The following is a 25,053-nucleotide window of genomic DNA, read 5'->3' as shown; positions in this document are numbered from 1 at the left end:
TTTTAATATTGATAACAGTGTTTAAACATATTTCAGTGTTTGCTAAAATCTTAGTAATATTAAGTCCTCTGAGGAATGCACTTATAAAGCACACAACTCCAAATCACTAAAGTCATCTGACTGGGAAAGCGGGAAGGGGAAAGAAATTAAGCTTACAGAAAATGCTTTTTTGTACTACAACTAAAACTATAACTAAAACTACTTTTTTGTACTACTATAACTAAAGAGTCATAGGTTAAAAAAAGGTAAAATTAGTCTGAATAAAAAAGACTAAGACTGGTAAATTATTAAATAGCAAGCACATAGTACATATTACGTTCCAAGAACCAATTTGTAACTTATCCTTTGGCAGTGATAGAACAGAACACTTTTACAATTTTTTAATTTCAAATACTGTCATTTTCAAAATACTACTGTCATGGTCTTTCAGATTTCATCTGTTTTTATCAGAACCTGGAAGAGGGAGGGAAGATACATAAGATGATAATGTATGTATCTAGGACTATATCACAGGCTACTTCTACACATGATTTTAAGTAAATCTCCACTTAATTTATAATTAAAATGATTTCACAATAACTGTAAGCTCAAAATATCTGAGACAGCTCTCAAGTCAGTTTAGAAAGTTTATTTTCCCAGGGTTAAGGTGTGCCCATGACACAGCCTCAGGAGGTCCTCACCACATGTGCCCAAGGTGGTTGGGGCACAGCTTGGTTTTACACATTTTAGAGAGACATGAGACATCAATCAGTATGTGTAAGGTGTACATTGGTCTTGAAAGGCAGGACAACTTGAAGAGGGGCGGGGGCTTCAAGCATAGGCAGGTAAGAGAGAAAGGGTTGCATTTTTTTGAGTTTCTGATTAGCCTTTCACTGAATATACAATTTACATGTGAGAGGAGAGTAGAGGAATAGTCAGTTATACCTTAATCTGGCTTAGTGAAACATGAAACAGAGAAAGCAATCATTTATGCATTTGTTTCATGTGAAGACTTTGAGTTCTTTGTCCATAAGGAATTCCCTTGTGAGCAAATTTTATCTTTGTGGCTGTCTTATTTAGGAATAAAATGGGAGGCAGGTTTGCCTCAATCAGTTCCCAGCTTGACTTCCCTTTGGCTTAGTGGTTTTGAGATTTTTCTTTCATATAACCTTAGTATAAAATTCATCCTTGATAGTGTTTATCCCTAAAAGACATTTTCTTCATTCAATTCATTCAAGGTAGAAGATAAAAATCAATGGCTAAATGATGTTGTCTTGCTCTAATACAGTCTGCAGTCTGGTTTGTTCGTTGGCTGAATAAACATGGGAGCTGAGAGCTCTGGAGAAATACAGCCATTTACTGGCTGTGAAATCTCAAGTTAACTACTCTAAAATCGCTTCGATTATGAAATTTAGACAATAATTATTAAAATGTCATTATGAGTTCCTGGTAATACCAAACACCTGTCATTTTACACAAATGCGTTTTGAATGTCTGAAAGACAGCTCCTGCCCTTAATTTAGATGTAAACCATTTAGTTTCAAACTAACCACCTGATAAAATCTATAAACATTTTATCATTAACTAGAGCAGATGTCTGTTATTTGATGTCTATGTTATTTGAGTTTACTGTTTAATAAGTGAATTCATATCAATTAATCCTGCTAACAAATTTGACACTTAAGGTGATTCTGAAAATCCTTTAAACTTAAAGTAGATGGAATCTTAAGTATGGGGCCTTTTAGTGTCCGTAAAGAAAAACTGCATGCAACAAAATATAGCAGGTCCTCACTTGTTGAGATTCATGGAAATTGTGACTTTAAATGAAATGACATGGCTGGGCATGGTGGCTCACACCTGTAATCAGCACTTTGGGAGGCCACGGTGGGTGGATCACGAGGTCAGGAGTTCAAGACCAGCCTGGCCAACATGGTGAAACCCCGACTCTACTAAAGATACAAAAAATTAGCCGAGCATGGTGGTGCACGCCTGTAATGGAGGCTGAGGCAGGAGAATCTCTTGAACCCAGGAGGCAGAGGTTGCAGTGAGTCGAGATTGTGCCATTGCACTCCAGCCTGGGCGACAGGGCAAGACTCTGTCTCAAAAAATAAATAAAAATAAAATGAAATGACGCATAAACCAATTTTTTTTCCTCATCGATGTTACAAACCACTTAAGGAAATGACATCATTCAAGAACATTGTGCTACGTGTCATTTTGCTTAAAGTCAGTTTCTAAGAACCTTTCGATGGCATTTAAGGACTTAACTGTAGTTACAATTGAGTGCTTACTATGTGTCTTGCACCTCTGAATATTTAACGTATTACCTCATTTAATCTTCACAACAACAACTTATGTAGGTAGTAGTATAATCTCGATTTTACTGAAGAGGAAACAAAGGTTAATCTGGCCACGGTCACCTTACTAGTGAGTGGTTGGAACAGATATTTGAGAACAGGCAACATGGCTTCAAAATCTAAGCTCTTGCCTACCCACTAACTACTCCCTTTCAACGAAAGACTAGTAGGTTATTTGAACCTGAATACCCTGAAAGTAACAAGCAAATTTTATAATTTTCTTTCTGTTGTCAGCATATTACAAATTGCAATGAAAATTCTTTGTTTTCCCACCAATTATTTAGAAGATTGTGTTTTCAGAACTTTTATAAAAGCATCTTTTGGAACTTCAACGTTGCCAATTTTCCTCAGCTTTTTTTTCCCTTCTGCTTGTCTCTTCAAAAGCTTCATTTTTCGGGTAATATCACCACCATACTGAAAAATATTTTAAAACATTGGAAGTCTAAGTCACTCTAAAGAGAAACAATCATATGATTACAGCGGCATCAGTACAACCTTAACAACCATACCAAATTATTATCCATAAGGCAGACATCTCTCTAATCTTCCTAGCAGATCTAATTTTACTGTCTTCTCAAAGAATGATACAGGATTTAATCTGGATGGAGGTGAAGATTCCCAAGGAAACCTAGTATAATAATATGCATGTCAAGGAAGAATTATCAATCTCCTTACTGATTCTAGGCTTGGAATTTTGACTAGAAAGCCACAGTCTAATATAGGTAACTCTTAATCACATAGGAATAAATGTGCCTTTGGAGAAAGAATTGATCATTCAACTCTCACGATATTTAAGAATAATTTTTCTTTTTTTGAGATAGAGTTTCCCTCTCACCCAGGCTGGAGTACAATGGCAGGATCTCTGCTCACTGTAACCTCCGCCTCCTGAGCTCAAGCAATTCTCATGCTGCACCCTCCCGAGTAACTGAGATCACAGGCATGCACCACCACGCCTGGCTAATTTTTGTATTTTCAGTAAAGCTGCGGTTTCACCATGTTGGCCAGGCTGGTCTCGGAACTCCTAGCCTCAAGTGATCTGCCCATCTTGGCCTCCCAAGGTGCTGGGATTACAGTTGTGAGCCACCGAGCTGGTGCAAGAATAATTTTTTAACAGCTGAATAACAGCAAACTGGCAAAACAATGTCAGGAGAGGTAGACTTCAACTGTAAGATAAAGCCATTGTTTTCAAAATCTTTCATTATATGTTAGATCAAGAAAACATGTTACCCAGATCATAGAAATAACTGTTGTAAAAATCTTCCTTAGTATTACATATAAGAACAATTTTAATAAATATTTTTGTAAATTTTTATAAATAAGATGAAAAAATACTTAAAAGATATGGGCAAAATGAACAGGTTGCCATGGTCAAGCTGAAATTTACCTATTCAAAAAGGGAACTTGGAAACAAAGAATGTATAAAAACCAACAATGGAAATCAATAAGTTTATGCCCCCTTTGATTTAAAGCCCATAAAAGTTATAAAGTAGAATAAATACAACTAGATACATACACATTTTGCCAAAACGTTTTTCCTATAGGCTTTCACACTGTAAAAGAGAAAAATTCGTTTAAGTACATAATTCCATTATACTGTTTAAAAGCACTTCCTTACCAAAAACAATCTCCCCTTTACTAGAAAATTTTAATGATAGTATCATTACCTATGTAAAATTGCCATAAGCATATTAATTAGATACTTCAAATGCTCTTGTATTTATTTTCATGTACTTGGTATAAAAGAACAAATAAATTCAACATGTTTATCAACACACATTAAGAAAAAATGGTCAAGGCTTGTGGTAGGCTTGATTAGGCCAAATTCAAGCATGATGTGACCTTGATTACAAGAAATACATTAGGTTATTTTTTACTCAATCTAAAAATTACCAATCTAAAAATTAACACTACTACTTCAGAAAAACAAAATATGTTTATTATCTTATTACTGCCTCTACTGAATGTGGATGGAGTGGCTAGGAAGCTTGATATATCCACCCCAGCAGTTATAAACTAATCTATTTCTACAATGTTTGAGAAATTTCTAGATCACTCTAATTTTGAAAATAGCTCCATCTTTATGTATTCCTTAAGACAGAAAAACCAATTTTTTAAGGTATTATCTCAACACACTTATTTTAGAATGAGCAATTGCTAACTGTCTTAAATTGCACTTTCCAGGATGTTCCCTAGTTATCATTTCTACTCTGCCTGATCTCAGTATTTACAAAACACAGAATAACTAACCAAAGCAAAACAGTGTTAGGAAATGAAATGTATTTCAAACAGTGGGCCTAAAATTAACCTCAAGTCTATATTAACATGATGGTTGTATTTCCTCATTAGGTTTGGGTTAAGGTCGAATTTAATAGCAATTTCCAGCTTTTCATAACTGAGGAGATACTTCCTATTTCCTAGAAGTCTTAGGATCATTAAGGAAAGGAAATGGGAAGTGCTACAAGACACATCCTGCACCTGCTGTCACAAGCAGAGCAGCTTATTCAGTGTTCTTCATTGTTATTTTTGGGTTTTTGTTAAAAAACTGGGTCTTACTATGTTTCCCAGACTAGTCTCACAGCAATACTCCTGCCCCAGCCTCCCAAGTAGTTGGGATCACAGAATGTGAGCCACCACACCCAGCCAGTGTTCTGATTTATGTATTACATTTCATGAAAGACTAGTGTCCGACACAAATTAGCCTGTCTTCCATATCTACTATAATTCATGTGAGGTCCCTAATCTAGAATGCAAATCCTAACATGGTATTGGCATTCCTTGATTTATAACCTCCCTAGCTCTGCGGAAGTGGGGAAGCAATATTAAATGCTTTGGGTTAAAAAAAAATTGTAATTTTGTCATTTGGAAGACAAAACCTTTTAGTTTCAGTTTCTATTAATCTATAATCTACCTAAAGGGATAAAACCATAAAAGAAATTCCTTACCCAGGAAATTCAGTATAGACATTGATATGAGTGGAAATTAAAACAGTTCCTCAAACTCGTATACGTTATACTAACTGCAGATCACATCACCCAGTGCTGTTATATAAGTAATTCAAAGTAACAGTCATTACTTAAATCAGAAAACTGGAGAGCACCATCATACTGTTTCTACAAGTAAGAAAGCTTAGGCCAATGTTAAATTAAAATGTTCAATATTCTTTCACTTTTTAGGTATATCATTTCTGAAACTGGCTCAAGACCAAAAATGAATTTCAACTCACGTTTCTCTTGCAATGATTTTACTTCCAATAGCAGCTTGAATTGCTATCTCAAACAGTTGCCTAGGAAGAGAATCCTTCAGCCGTTCACATATGGCTTTGCCAATTGAATGAGCTTTGTCTCTGAGACAGAAAAATACAACTGTTTATATATCCTAAATAAGAATATTTCAAGTATTTTTCTAGGCCAGTTGCATAATCAGTGTAAAGGTGATCTCTTAAGGAGGTTCAAATGGAACTTACTTATAAATCTCTCTTACTCTCTGAATCATGAACAACTTCTCTGATTTAAAAAAGTAATGTATGATTACAGAATATTTAGAAATACAACATTAGACAATAGAAACTGTTCTTGATTCTCTTTCCTTACCCGCTGAAAACGGTTAAACATTTTGGAATGATTATTTTAAACAGTTATCTTTCTAATCACTTTTTTGCATTTTTTTGTATGATCAGTGTTTACGATATATTCTACCCTCTTTATATTTAACAGACATTTTTATGTCACTAAATATTACTCCACAAGTTTTAATGGCTGAAAATAACAATATGGGTGCTTTGTAATTCATTTTAACCAATCTGCTGTTTCTTGAACACGTGGGGGTTTTCCTTTTTATAATTTTTTTACAAATATAAAAGGGCGCGGTGGCTTACGCCTGTAAATCCAGCACTTTGGGAGGCCGAGGCGGGCAGATCAGAGGTCAAGAGATCGAGACCATCCTGGCCAATATGGTGAAACCCCATCTCTACTAAAAATACAAAAATTAGCCGGGCATGGTAGCATGCGCTTGTAGTCCCAGCTACTCAGGAGGCTGAGGCAGGAGAATTGCTTGAACCCGGGAGGCGGAGGTTGCAGTGAGCAGAAATTGCGCCACTGCACTCCAGCCTGGCAACAGAATGAGACTCCCATCTAAAAAAAAAACAAAACAAAACAAAAAAACTTGTTCCCAATTCTAAATCCATCATTATAAAATGTTTAAAACTTTTTTTAATATGGTGAAGGGAAACATTTCTATGACACTGTTCTTTTTGACTATTATAGCTCTGTTCTATTTTTAGCAGTCTAGAGAGAAGTGTGGAAAAAAAAGAGAAAGCAAAGTTAGTAGGGTGAACTCTATTTTAATTACCTTAGAAGTTTTTTAAATGCAGCTGCTCAAACAAAAATAAATGAAAAACATATCAAAAGTATTTTCACATTCCATGATTAGTTTCTATTGAACTTACTTGTGTACAACAGTTACTAGCTCCTCTACAGTATTTCCATTCAGTAGAATATCCATTTTTACAAGTTCTGCAGTCTGGTAGCCTGCATCTTCGTAATCAAAACTAAAAGGAAAAAAGTCCAAGTGATAAATATTACACTTCCTGAGAGATTACCTTTATTACTCTTTACTCTTTACTAAATGTCTACTTTCTACCGCATTACACTCCCCAAAGAGATATGTTTCCATCAAAATATTACATATACAGTTTCTTGTGAATGGATCTAAATGTTATCTTTTTATGTTTATTAAATCAAGGGCAAAAGCAAGGGGAATATGTTTATAGGGGAAAGGAAAATAAGCTGGTGAACCTGACAAAGAAAATGGTTTATTGAAGACAAATATCATGCCTTCCCAATGTTCCCAGCAGCTGGGAGGCTTCGGACAATACTATATATTATTAATGGATCATTTTCAGATTCATGAGTTGGGTTTCTGTTTAACTTTCTATTACCAATGACAACTCTATGTTTAAATAAATGCTATGACACTCATAAAATGCCATTAATAAATGAGACCTTTGGATTTCCTATTTGGCTCTTCAGCTTGCATCTCCCTTCACAGGGCTTTTGTGAGGATTAAATGAGTTAATACATGTAAACCAATTAGAGCAATGCCTAGTACATAATAAGTGTTTAAACAGAGCCTAGCTTAGCACACACAAGCACTTAGTTTCAGCTATTACTTTTAACAATGTGGTCAAAGCTTGTAATGTTAGTCAAAACAGACATTTAAATGTTTCACTTATAAAACTGAAGTCTAAAGAAAATTTCAATTAGGCTTACAAGTTGTCCCAATCACAGACAAGAATATGTATACTCCTATTGTCTTAATTTTAAAACAATTGGTGCCTGGACTTGCAAAATTATATTTGGTTTCTAAAGATTTTCAGCAGGAAGGTCATAAAGTGACAATAATACACTCTATTAACAGATTATTTTCAGAAGTACTGTTAAAATCCTTTCTTTCTTCAGGAAGCATCACTTATACATTTACTGTATGAAAGATACCATGTTAAGTATCATACAGAATACAAAGCAAATAGAGAATAAAACAGACATGGTCCTTAACTTTGAAGTTGTTACAGCTCCAGCTATGTTGTGGTCCAAAATATTAAAAATCTTAAAAATTTCTTAACTCATTTTTTCAAAAGAAATCATTATAAAAATTGTGTTTTTGTTTCCAAGCAGTCCAATTGATACCTAACCTCTATTGAAAACATAGGTATTCTAGTGTTTCCTTAGAATGCAGGAAACACATTTGTAATTCCAAAAAGCTACTAGTTGCTGTTGATTCTTGCCTCCTGGTATGAAATAAGTTTTTTCCTGATCTTAATTCATAGTCTATGATGACTTTCTGTTAAGTGTGGAATTGACTGCCTATGTAAAACATCCATCTTGAACATAATTACCTTAATGCTGGAAGCTGGAATATTTTATTTTTATGTAGTTCAAAAATAAATCATGTTCTCTCATTAAATTCAAAATGTATTTAAGTTTCCAAACGACAAGGCTTTTTAAGACCACTTATAATTCAGAAAGTAGTACCCAAATGCAAACTAAAATTGACAGACTTCTGTTAAAAATATTTATAAACATTAAACCTACTAATCTTCCTTTCAACTCTAGTAATTTTAATATGCCCCTCAATTCATTTTACTTTAAATTCCATTGCCACTTACTTGCTCAAGGTCTTGTCTGAAAGAAGACATAGAAGAAGAAAAAACTGGGTGACAAAGTAGAAGAAAATTCTCAATACAAAGGAACATGAAGATTCCTTGGTAAGAAGAATTATATATGCTAACTCTCTTCACTGACAAGATGATTAAATAAAGTTAAACTTCCAAGTCACTGTAGCATGTTTGTTAAACACTGGAATTTGTCTCTGCATGTTAACATTAACATTCATGCACTGTGTGGGAGTTTTATAGATGTCAATGTTCATTTTTCCCCTCCTGCTTCCCCATGTTTCACATCTGTTTTCTATATATACTATCCCGTAACATAAGATTTTAGGGCATAGTGAGGGTATCTAGAGTTATATGCCCCAACAACAACAACAACAACAAAAAACAGCCTCTCAGAATGCTATGCCCTGAGTTTCTTATTTGTTATTTAATAGTAACTCTCCTTTCACTTTTATCTGGCTTTTCTCCATGTACTCCTATGAGATACACAAAGGTTTTCGTGATGAGGACAACCTGTTCCTCAAAAGACTAAGTTATTAAAGTGTTCACTAATGGAGCGGCACATCTAACATTTTTTACAGACTGAATATGCACTTTTATTTTTCAAATGTAAATAGATGCTCTTGAGATTGCATAACATAAATATACATTTTAAAAGTGCCACTGAGGTTATGGTAAATTTTTGAAATTAGGTCTAATTCTTAACAGACAAGGAATACAGCTCTTCATGAAAAGGGGACTAACTTTTTTTGTTAAAAGAGAAATAAAAGTTAGATAATAAATCAAAGGAAACTTTTCTCCTATAAGCAAATCACAAGTAGTCTGTAACACCTATAAAGTTGTTCCAAGTCATTCTAACCTTAGAGTATGATTCTCAACTATCTTCAAGAAAGCTGAAATTACTAAATAAATGAAGAATTAGTATACCCTTGCTCATCAATATTTCAAAAAAGTTGGTCAGGCATCTTAGGTTCTCATTATTTTTTTACCTAGCATATCCAGAAGATAGGGATTTCAAAGAGTCATAAAAATCTACCACAATTTCATTCAAAGGAAAGAGATATTTAAGCATAACTCTATTTTGATCAATAAATATCATATTCTTCTGAACTGCTCTTCGAGCCTAAAAAGGGAAGGAAGAAAATGGGTTTAATGATAACCTACTCAAATACTGAGGAATGATGTATTTCTCTAAAGGTCTAGTAAAAACTTATAGGCAGTATTTATAATCCAGAGAGAAACATTTTATATTTCAATTGCATTAGGCTTGCTACCAAAGCTTTTAATCTTTATCTAACAATTTTATCTTTTAAAATGAACACTATTTCATTTAACAGTAAATCAAATGTAACTACATATAAAGTCAAAAGTCCTAATTTCTTGTTTTACAAATAATTAGGTCCAGAGAAATTAAAAGTTAAGACCAAGATTACAATCTAGTTTTTAACCTAATCAAAGCTCAGTCACCATTTGACACACTTTCCAATATGTATCAGAGTATTTCACATAGGTATTTTTAAGGAATATAATTACATACCATTTGTGGATTAAATCATTTATTACAATGTGGTGAGAACTAAAGCAAAATGGGAGTACCTTCAAATTTATGGTCCCTGAAGTACTATAATTATCTTTCAAACTACTCAAAAAGGCGAAATTATACATTTAGCTAATTATCAAATTTCTTTCCTTTGGGCTAACATATCAAATCAGTAAATTACACAAATTATCAGAAATATTTTTATTTAAAATCAAAATAATTTAAAAAGTATACATATCTATGTGTATAGATATAGACAGATATATATATGAAAATCTCATTAAATTCAGTATGCTCAGCAGAAAGAAATCTTTTAAAACCTGAGTTGGAAATCACTATTTCAGAGGACTAAAACCTAATTTTGTATTAAATTGTATTATAGTTATACCTCGCAAAGCATCATTATTTTTCCAGTGTATTCATCTGGTGTGATAATAGTGCCCAAAACAACTGGCTCCAAATATTCTGTTACTTTTGATTTATCGGGGAATTGTGCAGGATTGATAATTGTAATTTCTTTTTCTCTATGTTCCTAAAAATTAGAAAAATCAGCAATACTTAAAATCTTAATATAATGATTATCATTTTTCTTGTTTGCCTTATATTTTAAAATCCCTCCAGCTGTAATCATTTAATATTAATAACAAGTATTAGTAAACAATATATTCCAATTATTGATATTTACTAAACATATTTCATGGACCATTTAGAAGAAGTATGACAAAAGAATACACTTTAACCTGACACTTATAAAACATTATAGTCTAATAAGTTAATTTTGTTGGAAAATATTTAGATTGCCAAAATTAGTATTTGTTTAAAATGAACAGATTGCCACTTACATGGAATACAATACTGTCTTCATCACTGATTTGAAATTTAAAATTTCCCAGTCACCAGAATGAATGCTTCACTTTTTACGAGATAAATTACTTATGACCAAAATTACATTTTTCATCTTTGTGCTAGAATCAGAACATTATTTTCACTACTAATTTTACCTTTTACTATCAGCAATAGACTAGTTTTGATAATCTGGAGATTACATCAGGTTAAGAAAAATATTGCATAAATTAGTTTTCAAAAAAGTTCTTCATCATTAGCCATAGGGTAATTCAATGTTTATTACTACTAATCAATAAATATTTTGTTTAATACTTAATCAGCTATTGGTATAGTAAAAAGCTTCTCCTGCATTGTATATACACACATTTATTTTTTCCAAGAGACTAATGCAAAACAGTACTAAATACCAGTACTAAATACCAAGTACCTTTATCAATTTTGATGATGACAGTACAGCTTTATATGGAACAGTAGGGGTTGTTAAAATAACAGAAGCATTATATTCTTGCTCCAGTCGCTGGTTGAAAACTTCCATGTGCAAAAGTCCAAGAAATCCTAGCCTGGGGGAGGAAAAGACAAACTCCAAAATGTTTATGTCCCATGGGCTTCATTTTTTTTTTTTTTAATGAACATATTGTTACTTTAAGGGAGGGATGGAATTAAGTCATTCAAACAATTCACAATATAATTAAATGCTAGCATAATTTTATTAAATAAGATTAAAATCTTCCATTGGGAATCTATTTTAAATCACTATAAAACTTACCCATAAAATGTCAATCCGCAACGTGAAACAGGCAGATAAAAATTGTTTTCGTTCACTTTACACTAATATAAACTTATTTTCAGTAAATGTTCCAGAACAATGCACCATTTTATACCTCCCTTACTTATAAAGATATTTTTTAAAAACCTCCCTTTCCTATAAAAATATTTTTAAAATACACCATTTACACCTCCCTTTCCTATAAAACACATGTGAATGAATCTTACCTCCAGCCAGCACCCAGAGCAAGGCTACTATCCCGATGAACGGTCACACTGGAATCATTTAAAGTCAGTTTTTCTATAGCACTCTTCAGATTGTTATATTCAGATTGGTCTAGAGGATACATTCCTGGGGATACAATGATTTCTAATTATCACGTGATAAGCTGCCTACAGACCTATCAAACCACATGTGTAGTGCTGCCAAGTTCCAAATTAGTCATTTACCTTTTAAATTACTTTCTTGTATTTTATTGACCAAAATATTGGTTTGCTAAAAATGAATGATTATTTGGTTTCAAAGTATCTTACAAGTCATTAGTCTGAAAGAATATACAACTAGATTTGCACTCCAAATAATGTTTTTAATGTTTTTGAAAAAATACAGGGAAAAGAAAAAAAAAAACATGGGAATTAGGCCTATTAAGAAAACACAGTGTAATTTCAAAAACAAAAGCACAAGACATTCCACAACCCAAATGAAACTTTATTATTGGATAAAAATAGAAGTAGACATGAAAACTATACTGCACTCTCAATTCTCTAAGGCAGATTATCTACTTAAAACCATAGTTAAATTTTGCTTTTTGGTATTTACTGACAAAAACTATGGGAATCACTACTGATTCTCTTTCATCTGACACCTCTGAAGTCCTCTAAAATCCACATGACTGACTTTGCCTAAAGGTAGGGGTAAACAAAGTTCCTAATTCCCAGTGAGAGAGACTGTAGGGCAAAAATTAAGGGCTAGATACTCAGCACAGAGTAACCTGATGACCTTCAATCAGGTCTTCCTTTTTCCAAAGTAAATGAAGTAAAAGATTCTGAAATTATACGTACTTGAGGCAACACCATTCTGTCATATCTACATTAGTACAGTACAATATTAAAGAAAGTCTATCGAAGATGAAGGCACTCAGTCAGTGTCTACTGATAATTACTAATAAGAACATCCTAATTAGAAAAATGTTTCAAATATAATAATGAACTCCCTAGAAAAATAAGAAAGAAATTTATATTACTGTATCCTATATATCACAGCTTCTTCCTCAAGAACTTATTTCTTAACACATCCTAAATGATCTCCCACATATAATTTCATCACACATATGTAATTATAAACTGATAAACAGCACAAAGTGAAACAATATGCTGGAATTAGTGGTTATTTAAAATAACCAGAATGTGTATTTTTTCCTTAACCACTGAGACAGACTTTTAGTTTAAAAATATCATGGCCCTCAACCTTTGAATTTGTGAACTCCTCACCTGCAAATACCATTGGTTTCGCTGATTTAAACCCAGGCAAGGGCTCCACTGGTTGCTTATGTAAACATAATGTATCTCCTATTTGCGCTTCAGTGACATCTTTCATCCCAGCAATCAGATAGCCCACCTGTCCTGCATATCTAAATAAAATTATTATATGCAAATATTTACTGCTTTAATGTTTCAAGCACATAACTCACAATTAGTTCTACCTTCCCAGGAAACTATCATACACTTTCCAAACTTTCCATACACTTTGAAAATAAGTGCTACATATCAATTATCAAACTCTGAAGCTTGTCAGCAAATGAACACACCAGGTCTTACAATCCATTAGACCTCTCTACTTATAAACCTAATGCCTTTTTCATGATTCTGCCAACCTTTGCAATTTAAACAGCAGTTTCTAAAATATATGTAAATACAGTGAAACTAGTAAGTACAAAAGCATTATAATAAGTACACTTGTGATGTCTTTTATTAATGAATTGTGTTGAAAATGTTCTTTAACAAAGGAAAAAAAGGTAAATTTTTATCCAAGAAAAATGTGAACTCTCAACAAACTGGACACTTGATATTCCTCCTGTAGCAAAAGAGCAAATCCTATGAGTTCAGTTTAAGCTTAGTTAAAAAAAAAAATCCCTACAAAACTAAAATGATTTACACTTAGAATGAGCTTTAAGAACCTTAAATGAAGATGTGATAATGTTTGGTATATATGGCAGAATATAAATAGATGTTAAAATATTTCAGTAAAATAAAAATAGACTTTCTGACTCAATATAGTGCTGTTTTTAGACATATAACACTAAACACTCAAATGTGATCTGACAGTCATCTGGTTCAATAATTTCTACAGACAAGGAACAGGACCTTACAAAGCTCAAATTATGTACCCAAGGTCATGCCTCATCAGTACCTGATACGGAGTAGGCACTCAATAAATAGTTCTTTTACAAGTCAATTCAGATGTTTTTCTAATGCACACTACCCTTGCTAATCCTACTCCCCAAGAATTTTAATCAAGGTTTTACCATGAATTCCACACTAAAGATTTATTAAGGTTTCTATTATACCACCTTTACATTGGAAAATCTAGTTATGAAGAAATGTCAAAAATGATACCTAATATGGATATGGGTGGAGGGAACTAACTCTTTCATTGTCTCATCAAATACATCGATATAGGATCCAATCTACCCTTGATCATAAATCTAGTTATAACTAGTCATTTAGAATAAAAAAAGTATCAACTGACGTTTCTATTGTCCTTCCCATGAGATTCCTTGACAGAGCATTTACTGTATAGTTGCATTAAATAGTTTTTTTTAAGTTACCAAATGAGGATCATTCTAAGCATACCAAGTTGAGAAAAATGCAGAAATAGAACCACATACAAATGCATTTTAATTTTACTAATGCAGATTACTTACAATTTATGAGTTGGCTGCTCATTAGGATTCAAGACTCCTACTTCATTAACTTCGTATGTCTTTTGAGTATGTGCAGATACAATTTTATCTCCTTTGGAAACCACTCCGTCAAATAATGCTACATTGGCTATCACACCTCTATACTGGTCAAAGGTGGAGTCAAATACCAAAGCTCTCAGAGGATTTTTGCGATGCACTTTAGGACTAGTAAATATAAGTAAAAAGTAAATATATATACACTAAATTAAAATCTTAATAAAATTCTTATTTTCAACTTAGATATTGTACTTGAGTTCTTGAGAAAGTTTGATACACAACAGCCTAAATAAAAAGACCTTTTTATAAAATATATTAGATTTAATAACCTCTAGTTTTAACAAATTATTTATGAATATATTTGTTCAGCTTAAAGCAAAGGAAAATAACTGCCAATGTACTGAGGTATATTTTATAATGATTGTCATGAAAAGACCTCTATCAATCATCTTTACTTTTTCTTTTACTTTACTGTACTTGCCTTCTATGTATTACTAAAAGCAAATAAATTTATTCTCGCTGCCTGCAAGAATATTTGCCACATCCATTAAGCTAAAATAACAGTTCAAGCTGACAGTCTTTGAACTATTAAACATGGACAGTTTTTGAACTATTAAATAGAGACAACTAGTACAAAAATCACCAAATACTCACGGGGGGATTCTTTCAATAATTGCCTGAAGAACACTCTCAACATTTGTTCCAAGTTTAGCAGAAATCTAAAAAGATACATGTGAAAAATATAAGCATTTAAAGTTAAGACTATACTTTTCTATCTTGATGACCTGTGACTTATGATCAGAAGGAAAAAAAAATTCCAATAGTTATCAATTTGAGAAATACACCAAAAGGAAAAGAACAAAGCAAACAGTATATTGACAAATACTTTTTCTATTATAGTTACGTAGTTCTACAGTTCTAGAATGGAATTACAAGAGAGTCCTAATTATGGTATTGAAAGAGGAATAGTTCGAAATCTGGGTAACAATCATGTCTTTGCATTGAATCCATGTATTTCACCAGTATCTATCTCTTTGAGCATAAATTTCATCATCTAAAAAATGAAGTGATTATTCATATTCTGCCTAAATCTCAAGGTTGTTGTGTGGATAAACAATGTATGTGGATGGCATAAAACCATAAGGCATCTTACTACTACTTTAGTGTTCTCACACCAGAAAAGCAAGCCAACACTCAAGCCACATGGTATGACTGACCTTTATCACTGGTAATAAATGGACTATCTCTGAAATCCTGACTTCAAACTTCTTACTCTTCACATTCACTCTAGACTAGGATTTCTCAGTTTCAGCCCTACTGACATTTTGGGCCAGATAATTCTTTGTTTTGGGAGGCTGTCCTGTGCATTACAGGATGTTCAGCAGCAACCAGGGCACCTCATTTACCCACAAGATGCTGGTAGCATCCCTCCCAAGATGTGAAAACCAAAAATATCTCCAAATATTTGCCCAGGGGCAAAACCACCCACCACTGACAACTACTGCTCTAGACTGTAGTACTTTCTTTACAATAGTCCTTAACTTGTAACTATTGAATATACTACTTGATGCTGTCCATCAGCTTCACCCTCCACTCTGTTTCTATCTTTTCCCAGATGGGACTCCAAGATCCATCATTTACATTCACTCTGGTTCAACCACTTTCTGTTCTCTTCTTATTAGAGGCAGCTGACAAAACCTCAACCTTGACTGCATCCAATTATGTGTTTTTTCTATGCCCATATACAGAACAGCTTAACATTACTGGAAAAAAGAAATCAAATAAATGGTCTGGTTCGTTTCTTGTATCTGACAACAAGCTATCTTGCCTATGGGCAGCTGTGCTTCTTATATACTTATCTCCAAATCAAGAAACATCATTTAATGCAATGCAGATTTTAAAATTAAGGTTCTTTATTAATTTTAAAGTATGAAATGGAGGTTTGTAGACAGTGCTCAGTTTAGCAATGAACTGTTATGTTTTATGTATATTGTTTCCTCCTGGATCATAATCTCCTTTTCATATGGATAGTTAATACTGAGCCATAGTAATTTCACATCTGGGCTACCATTAATAGCTGGATTCCCTGTATCTCTTCTTATACCTCTTTGATCCATTCTCTGTAAGGCTACCTGAATGACTGGTTAATTTGTTTCTCTTGCTTTAAAATCCTTCCATTGTCTTAGAATAATTTTCAAGCTCTTCAGCACAGCACGAGTCCCAGCATGACTTGATTCCTGCATACCCCTACAAAGCCTTCTCATCCAATCAACCTTTCTGATCAGTAAACATGCCAAATCTTTTCCTAATTTAAGTCCTTTACACATGCTCTTTTCTCTTCCTGGAATGTTTTTCTGAAAATTATTCATTCCTCCACGTTTCAGTTTATCAGAGACGCTTTTGCTAAGTTATTCCATGTCATAACGTCTCTCTAAGAAAAAAGACTTTTCACTGTTAATGATGGTATTTCACCTAGAATAATAACAATTTGTCGAATGAATTTCCTTGACAATCTCTATCCTAGTCAATAATTCCTATGCTTACTTCTTTGTTTACTTATTTATTGACTGTCTGCAGAAAGGAAGGGGTCTTGTCTGTCTTATTCACTGCCATACTCTTAGCTGGCATATACCAAATAAGAATCTGAATGAATTTTATTAAGATTAAAATCAGAATAGTTAATTGTATTTTAATATAACATAATCCAAAATATAAAACCATATATAACTTGCTCTTTTGAAAATTAAATTAGCTTGAAAGAAAAACATTACATTGCTGTGCTGACATACTTTACACTACCATGTAGTATAGCAGTTTGGCTGTGGCTGTTTAACAAGCAGATCATCATTTCAAAGGTAAATAAAAATTCAAATTTAAAATGGTAGCAACTTTGGTATAAATAAAATCTATTGTTTCCTAGCACTACAACTAGCTTTTTATAAAATAGGTTTTTGTCAGTTCCAAGAATGATACATACAAAAGCCCTGAAATTAGTTTGAACCTGCTCTTCAAAGACAGTATTTCCACTGGGCAAACTGACACACAAGAAATACTGCAGGGAGTTTCAGAAGGCCTGTGTTTTAGTCCTGGCACATTGGCTAACTAAACCTGTGATCTTAGGAAAGTGATAAAACCTTTGAGCCTCAGTTCCTTTAACTACAGCATCGCAATAATTTCTGTATGTCCTAACAATATAAAAAGGGCTTTTGATAAGGATCAAAGGAAATAATAGTAAAAGAAGTTTGTAAAACTATAAAAAACAGCATATAATGCCAGGTTATCAAATACCATGAAATTTCACTTAGCCCAATTACTTGAGACTTTTTTCAAAGTATAATCTTTTTAGGAACGTATTTTACCTTAATACATTCATCACTTGGAATATCAAACACTTTCTCAATTTGGTTTTCAACCCTTTCAGGATCAGCATTCTTCAGATCTATCTTTAAAAAAAAAAATCCATTATGTGAAGTATAATAAAGATAAGATGTATTATGTATTAACAGTATTCGGAGGTAATTAAAAGCTTACCCACTTTAACCTAACTGACCCCTCTACAATATTTTTTCAAAAGCAGTAAAATAATCTATATATTAGCAGTATAATTTAATAACCATGATTGAAAAAGAGAAGTTAAGTAGCAGAGCTTGCAAAAAAAACTTAAGCAGTTAGCTACCCAGGGCAGCAGAAGAGATCAGTAGTAATTTATCAATTAAGCAGCATGTGAACTGATTTTAAAGGTTAAGTTAAATACAACATTAAGTCTGACAACAAGCTGTCTTACCTATGGCCTTCTTTTAAACTTAACTCCATTATCAAGAAATATAATTAAAGCAATGCAGATTTTAAAATTAAGATTCTAAATTAATTTTAAAATATGAAATGGAAGTTTATAGACAGAGCTCAGTTTAGCACTAAATTGTCATGCTTCATGTGTTGTATTGTTTCTTCCTAGATTATAAACTTCTCTTCTTTTCCTATGTATGGTTTAATCTGACAAACATGTTTCATCTGCCCTGCTTCCCTTCCCTACAGAAATGGCCCTCAGCTACCACAAGTTAATTCAGGAGAACTACCTTCTCAATTCTGTGCAAGGGTGAGTTTCAGTTGCACTTCTGTTATATACAATTCAAAGAGATAAATCCCACCAATATATTTAATAAATAGCTGGTGATCCCTCATATAATGAATAGTACAACTGACATTTAAACATTAATTGTACTTTTAGAAAGTGAAATAGCAACACTGTTGTCTCATTGTAATTACCTTATTTATAACTGGAATTACCGATAGCTGTGCTTCGAAGGCAAGAAAGAAGTTTGCTACAGTTTGGGCTTGAATTCCCTGAAAATATCAAGATACAAGATACTGAGATGACCATTCTATTATATATCACAAAACTTGTAATTTAAGACCATTCTATACATCTTCATCAAGAGATTTTGCGTTATGCTAATAATAAAATTAAACAAAATGCCATGTAGCTACCCTTCATGCTTTTCTCTCCAACTTATGTCTTTGGGGTCAATATGAAAATCGCTGATGGTAAAGCAATAATCACATCAAGTAGAGTGAGCCAACAGACAGTCTACTAAGCTTGAGATAGGAAGCCTTTAAGGAAAGGTACACGGCAGCTCAACTATGATACCTATTTTTCCATGCATCTGAATCATCCTCTGTAATAATTCCTTTCAGTTCAGAAAGCATTTATTGGAGGGCCTTTTCTGTGCCAGAAACTACATCAGGCATTGGAGAAACAAAAGATGTAACATGGACTCTCAAGGACCTCAAAGCTTATTAGAGAACACAGTCATCAAGGTAGTTTATAAAGGCCAGTACTGCCTACATAAGGTAGAGATTGACTTTCCTTGATGGGATCAGGAAAGGCTTAACGGCTTAACACAACACGGTCACCACCACCACTAAAAAAAAGTTGGGTTTTGAATGAAGAGTTTGTGAGAAACATGTAACAAAAGTTTATATTCACAGCTCTTACATGGTCATCTGCTGAGTGTCTTTACGGCTTACACAACAAAAGAGCTTAGTAATGTTACTGATTTTTTAAAAACCTAATACTTCCAAATTATTGCCTTAAAATCACCTAAAATGATCTGAAAACTAATGATTTATTCTTAAGATCTGCTAAAAATGGATATAGAAACCTCAGATTAAGAACTGCTAAAGTTGGTGGGGTTTTTTTGGTAAGATGCATTGACAATATGATGTCACACTTCAAAAAAATACAACAATCTTTTGAACAATTCCAATTTAAAAACTAGTCAATTCCAGAGAATGCTTTATTGTAATAATATTTCAGATTAACAGGATGAAACCATATGATTTTCAGTAAGTAACAGATTAAATCTATTTTTCAAACACAAAAATTCTATTTCCAAAACACATTTTAAAGAAAAACTCTTGAAACAACCAAATAGTCATGTCATATCACATCATACAAAATGAAAAATACCTACCTCATTTGCATCAACCACAAGTAAAACACCCTGGCAAGCAGAAAGTGACCTGGATACTTCATAACTAAAATCAACATGGCCCTGAGAAACAAAAATATTGATACCTGTAAATGTGAGTTAATTTTTTAGGAAAGAGCATTATGGCAAATTTATTGACTTTACTTGATAAAAGCTGTTAAATATTCGTTTCTTTTTTGTAGCCTGCACTTTTGAAACAACTGACACTAACATAAGAACACTGAGAAAACAAAAAGCAAAGGCAGATGTTTAATACTCAGTTCAAAAATTAAACAAGGATCTGTTTGCACTACTGACACAATGTTGACTTTAACAATACATGCAAAATTAATATTAAACTTACCGGTGTATCAATGAGATTTAAAAGGTACTGCTTTCCTTCACAATTGTAAAAGAGAGATGCTGTCTGTGCTTTAACAGTGATTCCTCTTTCTCGTTCCACTTGCAATTTATCAAGAACCTGCTTATTATTCTTTGTTTTATCAATTGTCCCTATAAACAGAAACACTTATTGATATTTCTCTGGGCTTTAAAAAAAAAAGAGAATATTACTTATAAAATTAAAATTTAAGAGTAAAAGTAATTCCCAATAACTCGCAGCCATCAGTTAAGTATGTAACATAAATGAAATACCTGTAAGTTCTAGGAGCCTGTCAGCTAAAGTACTTTTGCCATGATCCACGTGTGCAACAATACTGAAATTTCTAATATTTTCAACAGGAAACCTAGACATGTCAAGTTTTTCCTAGAAAGGGGAAATACCACATTTAGGAGTATAAATTTGGCATACTATCAAACAAGTATACCAATTCAAAGAATATTCTTTTAATCGTTGAACAATATCATTTCTAGCATTTATATTGTTTATATTATTATTCTAAGAAAAAGACATGTATGGCTAAGTTCATATTACAAGGAACATCAGTTTAATAGCCAAAGGTAACTATACAGCTAAATCATAATCCCTTAACATTTCTACACAATTTTTAGGGCCAATCAGGAACTGAATTTATTATCGTGAATGGAGAACATGAGACACCTAGAACTTCTAAAGGCCTGAGAATACCTTGTCTAGTAAAACTTTTGAGGCAATGGAGCTACAGAAAAGCTGAAAGAAGATAAATTTTCTGCTCCTATCACACATTTAATCAGGAATCAGATTTATTTAAAAATCTGTGTCTCTAATGGAGCCTCAAAATTTTATTTTAAATACAATTTTGCTACTTTGCAGCTTCTCTGGTGAGAAAGAAAAAAAGATGACATCCAACAAAAGACTTATCACTTAAAACTTAAAAATATTTTAAAATGGAACTCCTGGTTTTTCGTGTACACATCTTCTTTAACGTTTTACTGAAACACATCACAAATTGCTAGAAATTGTTATCAAGCAAAATATACCAGTTTTTTGTACTCTATTTTTTTCCAATCAACTGCATATTTCACAATCAGCAAAACCATGAAATTACAATGAAATATAAAATTCACGTGAGCTTTGTTTTTTAATAGCCCCATAAAGACAGATAATAAAAGCACAATTATAGCTGAAAGTCTGCCGAAAAAAAACTAATTCTGATGTTTGCCCTGTAGATTTTCTTTCCCTTCAGTTCAAAAGGTATAGAGAATTGCACCATCTTTATACTTCGAATTGCAATATAAATCCATTTTTAAAAACACAGGCATATTAGGGCCAAAGTTGATTAATTTAAGGTTTTGTCTTTCTGCCTACTTATAGCTTGCCTTCAGTCACTTCACTTTTCTGACTAAAATGTATCCATTCACAATTATCAGAGTTGTTGAACCTCCCACCCTCTCCCACCAGAGTCAAAATTACACAGGTTTGCTCTGGCTGAGGTAGAATGAAATAAAACTACAAAGACAGACCGAGAACTTCCTGCATTCTAGGTATTAGTCTAAAAAAGTCCACTTCTCACATCACACAAATCTCACAAATTAGCCACTGGATGTTTGATCAGTTCTGCATTCAACAAATGAAGTAGGAGAGTGACAATGTAGTAACTTGCCCAGGCCACATAGCTACTTAATTTGCAGGAAAATGGACGTTATATTAATATTTACTAGCAACTTGCTTAGTAGGCTTTTTAGAATTAAATAGATGAATAAACGCAAAGCACTTCGACCAGTGGCTCGCGTAAACAAATCAACATTTGACATTGAAAATGAGAAAACCTACAAAGTTAGTGACTTGCCCAAGGTCACACTAGTGAGGAGTGGAGGGTCGGGAACCTGAGCAGTGCTCACACTCTCCGCTCTGCCTCCCTGTACCAAGTTGCAAGCAGGGTTCAGAGCTAGTCCCAGAAAGCCCTATACATGTCCAAGATCGCATGGGGCACTCCAACGTTTGAAAACTTGGCTAAATCAGATTCCAGGGGGCAGTCACCTTGAATTCTGCGGAGCTGTAGAGCCTGTCGGTAGCCCAGGACTCTGGAGCAGCCCCAAGGGTCGGCGCGGACCGGGGCCCCGGGGCCACCAGAAGCGCGGCCCCAGTGGCTCGTGGCGCGAGAGCGCGTGCGCACCCCCAGCCCCGACCCACGAGGGTCCACATGACCCGGGCGGCGGAGGCGTCAGGAGAGGGTACCCACACGCAACAGCAGCATAGCCCGTTTTTTTTCGAAGGTACCCCCCGTAGGATCCGGTGGACAGGACTCAAACAGATCCTGTGAAGCGAAGACAATGAACCCCGGGGAGCTCTGCCCAAGTACCAGATCCGGAAGCAACCCGAAGCGGCGGCGCAGCTTGCCGACGTCTGCACGCCGCACGCTGTCGTGACATCAGCGCGTCTTGGCGCCGGGTAGTGGAGTGGTCACGTGAGTGGAGGCTTTCGATTGACTCCCTAAAACGCAGGGTGTAGACAGAGTACATATTAGCTTATATTGTCTGCTGAGTGCTGTGCCAATTCCTTTGCATTGTCTCTTTCTTACTACTGCCCTGTGGTGTGTGTACTGTCAGTTCCCCCAAACTACCTCTGGAAATCCGGACCGAGTGACTTGCCCAGGAGCTCACAGGTGGGGAGCTGTGGAGCCTGGAGTGCCGCCCAGGCAGTCTGATTCCCGAACCAGGAGCCGAGGTCTTAGTCCAGGGACTTAAAGATGCTATTATTAGCACAACGTTGAGACTTAGCCTTCTACCTAATGGCAAAATAATAATGGCACTTTTAAAATCTGGAGGTCGAAATGTATTCCCCATGTTGTCAGTGACAGAGCTAATCTTGAAGTGCATCTGAAAGGAAACGGGCCATAACATTGATTGCAATACTGAATCCAGGAAGGTTTTGGCAAGAAGTAAAGGTGGGAAAAAGTTCCATGCTGGACCCCCAATGTTTCCATCGTCATCAAGTTACCACTTCATGGAATGAGCTCTGACGAAGTAAGAATGGGGGATAAAACAGGTGATAGGAGGATTGCATCCAGTGTTTGTCTCCCACTATTTCTCTTGCGCTTTTCTGGAATATCCAGAATTTGGTGCGAAGGAGGGAGATGACAGCTGTGTTCAGTTCATCATTGTGACTGAAGACAGAATCATTCGTATTGTTTCCAGAGCCTTTGAAAGTTTCTTCATTTGGAGGATTTCTTAGGATCAAGAATTCTGTACCAGACTCAGTTCTTTCTTGGATTTTTTTTTCCCCCCTGAGATGGTGTCTCGCTCTGTCGCCCAGGCTGGAGTACAGTAGCGCTATCTCGGCTCACTGCAACCTCCGCCTCCTGGGCTCAAGCGATTCTCCTGCCTCAGTCTCCTGAGTAGCTGGGATTACAGGCGCGCGCCAGCAATCATGGCTAATTTTTGTATTTTTAGTAGAGACGGGGTTTCACCATGTTGGTCACGCTGATCTCGAACTCCTGACCTCGTGATCTGCCCACCTCGGCCTCCCAAAGTGTTGCGATTACAGGCGTGAGCCACCGCGCCTGGCCCTTTCTTGGAACTTTTATGAATTAAAACAGTACTTGATAGACGACTAATTCTGTCACACTTGTAAGAGAATGAATTTAACAACTATCTTGAAGTAAACACAATAATTTATATTCAATGTTGCCCAGACTTCCATAATTTGCACAATTACCCTCATTAATTTTCACCATATCCTGTCAAAGATAAAGGCAGACACCAGTTAAAGTGGTGAAGACAGATTTTTATTATAGTGATATACTAATGCAATCGGGAATAAGATCCAGAATGAACTAAACTACAATTTGTCCAGAGGCGACTGTATTTTAAAAGGAGAATGCGGGAGTAGGGAAAGAGAACAACTGGGCTTGATCAAAGTCAGGGAAACGGAAATTTACAAAAAACAATGGCGGAAGAATGGTCCATTTGAAATCCATCTGGGTTGTAAACTGTTGCTTATGGAAATAAGGCTCCTACCCTTCCCGCAGACACTAGGAAATGAGTGCTACTTTCACATGTTGGCTGGAACAAATAAATTATTTTGTCAGTCTTGAGCTTTCTCAGACAGAAATTTAAGGGGGCTTCATCTTAGAGATGCAGCCTTGAGCTGTTATAAACTATATGAGTTTGTTCAAGTCTTTTAATGTGTGGGCAAACCGGTAGGGGAAGGATGTGGATGAAATCATTTGTGCTGAGGGTCTGTAGTTTTTATAGGCAAGTTTGAGGCTTTGCTGATAAGAGGGCTTAGAAGAGTCAGGCTAGAGTTTGGTCAAGAATCTTTGTCAATCCTCATACCGATATTATGTACTTTATATTTTTCTTTAACTTACCTTTATATGTAAATGAATTCTTTTTAAAAGAAAACGTAGATACCATTAATGGAGAAAGCATGATGAGCTGTCATAAGAGTAACAGTAAATATAACTGTAGTGAATAAAAAATGTGATTCAATTGTAGGTTTGGTCTGTCTGGATTACAAAAGGGAGATTAGCAGATATTAGAAAAGAATTTAAAAATATTAGCCTCAAACTGAGATTTTTCTCTT

General features: G+C 34.5%; 1 protein-coding gene across 9 annotated transcripts, besides 2 other annotated features; it reads right to left on the bottom strand.

The window, feature by feature from the left end:
• Positions 366-22,874, bottom strand: GUF1 (GTP binding elongation factor GUF1). Of its 9 annotated transcripts, none has more exons than NM_021927.3 (17): positions 22,507-22,874; positions 20,742-20,853; positions 20,452-20,600; positions 20,091-20,171; positions 18,883-18,960; positions 17,976-18,059; positions 15,271-15,335; positions 14,581-14,784; positions 13,148-13,287; positions 11,885-12,008; positions 11,319-11,451; positions 10,434-10,577; positions 9,495-9,628; positions 6,781-6,882; positions 5,560-5,679; positions 3,850-3,886; positions 366-2,750 (listed from the first exon to the last, which is right to left on the bottom strand). In NM_021927.3, the coding sequence occupies exons 1-17, from the start codon at positions 22,669-22,671 to the stop codon at positions 2,613-2,615; spliced, it is 2,010 nt and encodes a 669-aa protein (NP_068746.2). In that variant the 5' UTR covers positions 22,672-22,874; the 3' UTR covers positions 366-2,612. The 9 variants fall into 9 exon arrangements, with proteins under 9 accessions (NP_068746.2, NP_001332796.1, XP_024309946.1 ...); NM_001345867.2 differs by having other exon boundaries at positions 17,976-18,055; XM_024454178.2 differs by having other exon boundaries at positions 22,709-22,874.
• Positions 22,536-22,695: a silencer, noted in NCBI's record as "silent region_15397". NCBI's record gives its function as "represses an Ori minimal core promoter by ATAC-STARR-seq in GM12878 lymphoblastoid cells {active_cell/tissue: GM12878}" and the evidence as "EXISTENCE:reporter gene assay evidence [ECO:0000049][PMID:35858748]".
• Positions 22,767-23,655: an enhancer, noted in NCBI's record as "H3K27ac hESC enhancer chr4:44679656-44680544 (GRCh37/hg19 assembly coordinates)". NCBI's record gives its function as "activates a minimal SCP1, AML or CMV promoter by ChIP-STARR-seq in naive H9 embryonic stem cells {active_cell/tissue: H9 hESC(naive)}" and the evidence as "EXISTENCE:reporter gene assay evidence [ECO:0000049][PMID:30033119]".

Source organism: Homo sapiens, chromosome 4 (genome assembly GCF_000001405.40).
Source record: "Homo sapiens chromosome 4, GRCh38.p14 Primary Assembly".
Taxonomy (NCBI): Eukaryota; Metazoa; Chordata; class Mammalia; order Primates; family Hominidae; genus Homo; species Homo sapiens.
The sequence above is the reverse complement of the archived record's forward strand: the minus strand, read 5'-3'. Positions and strand labels throughout refer to the sequence as shown.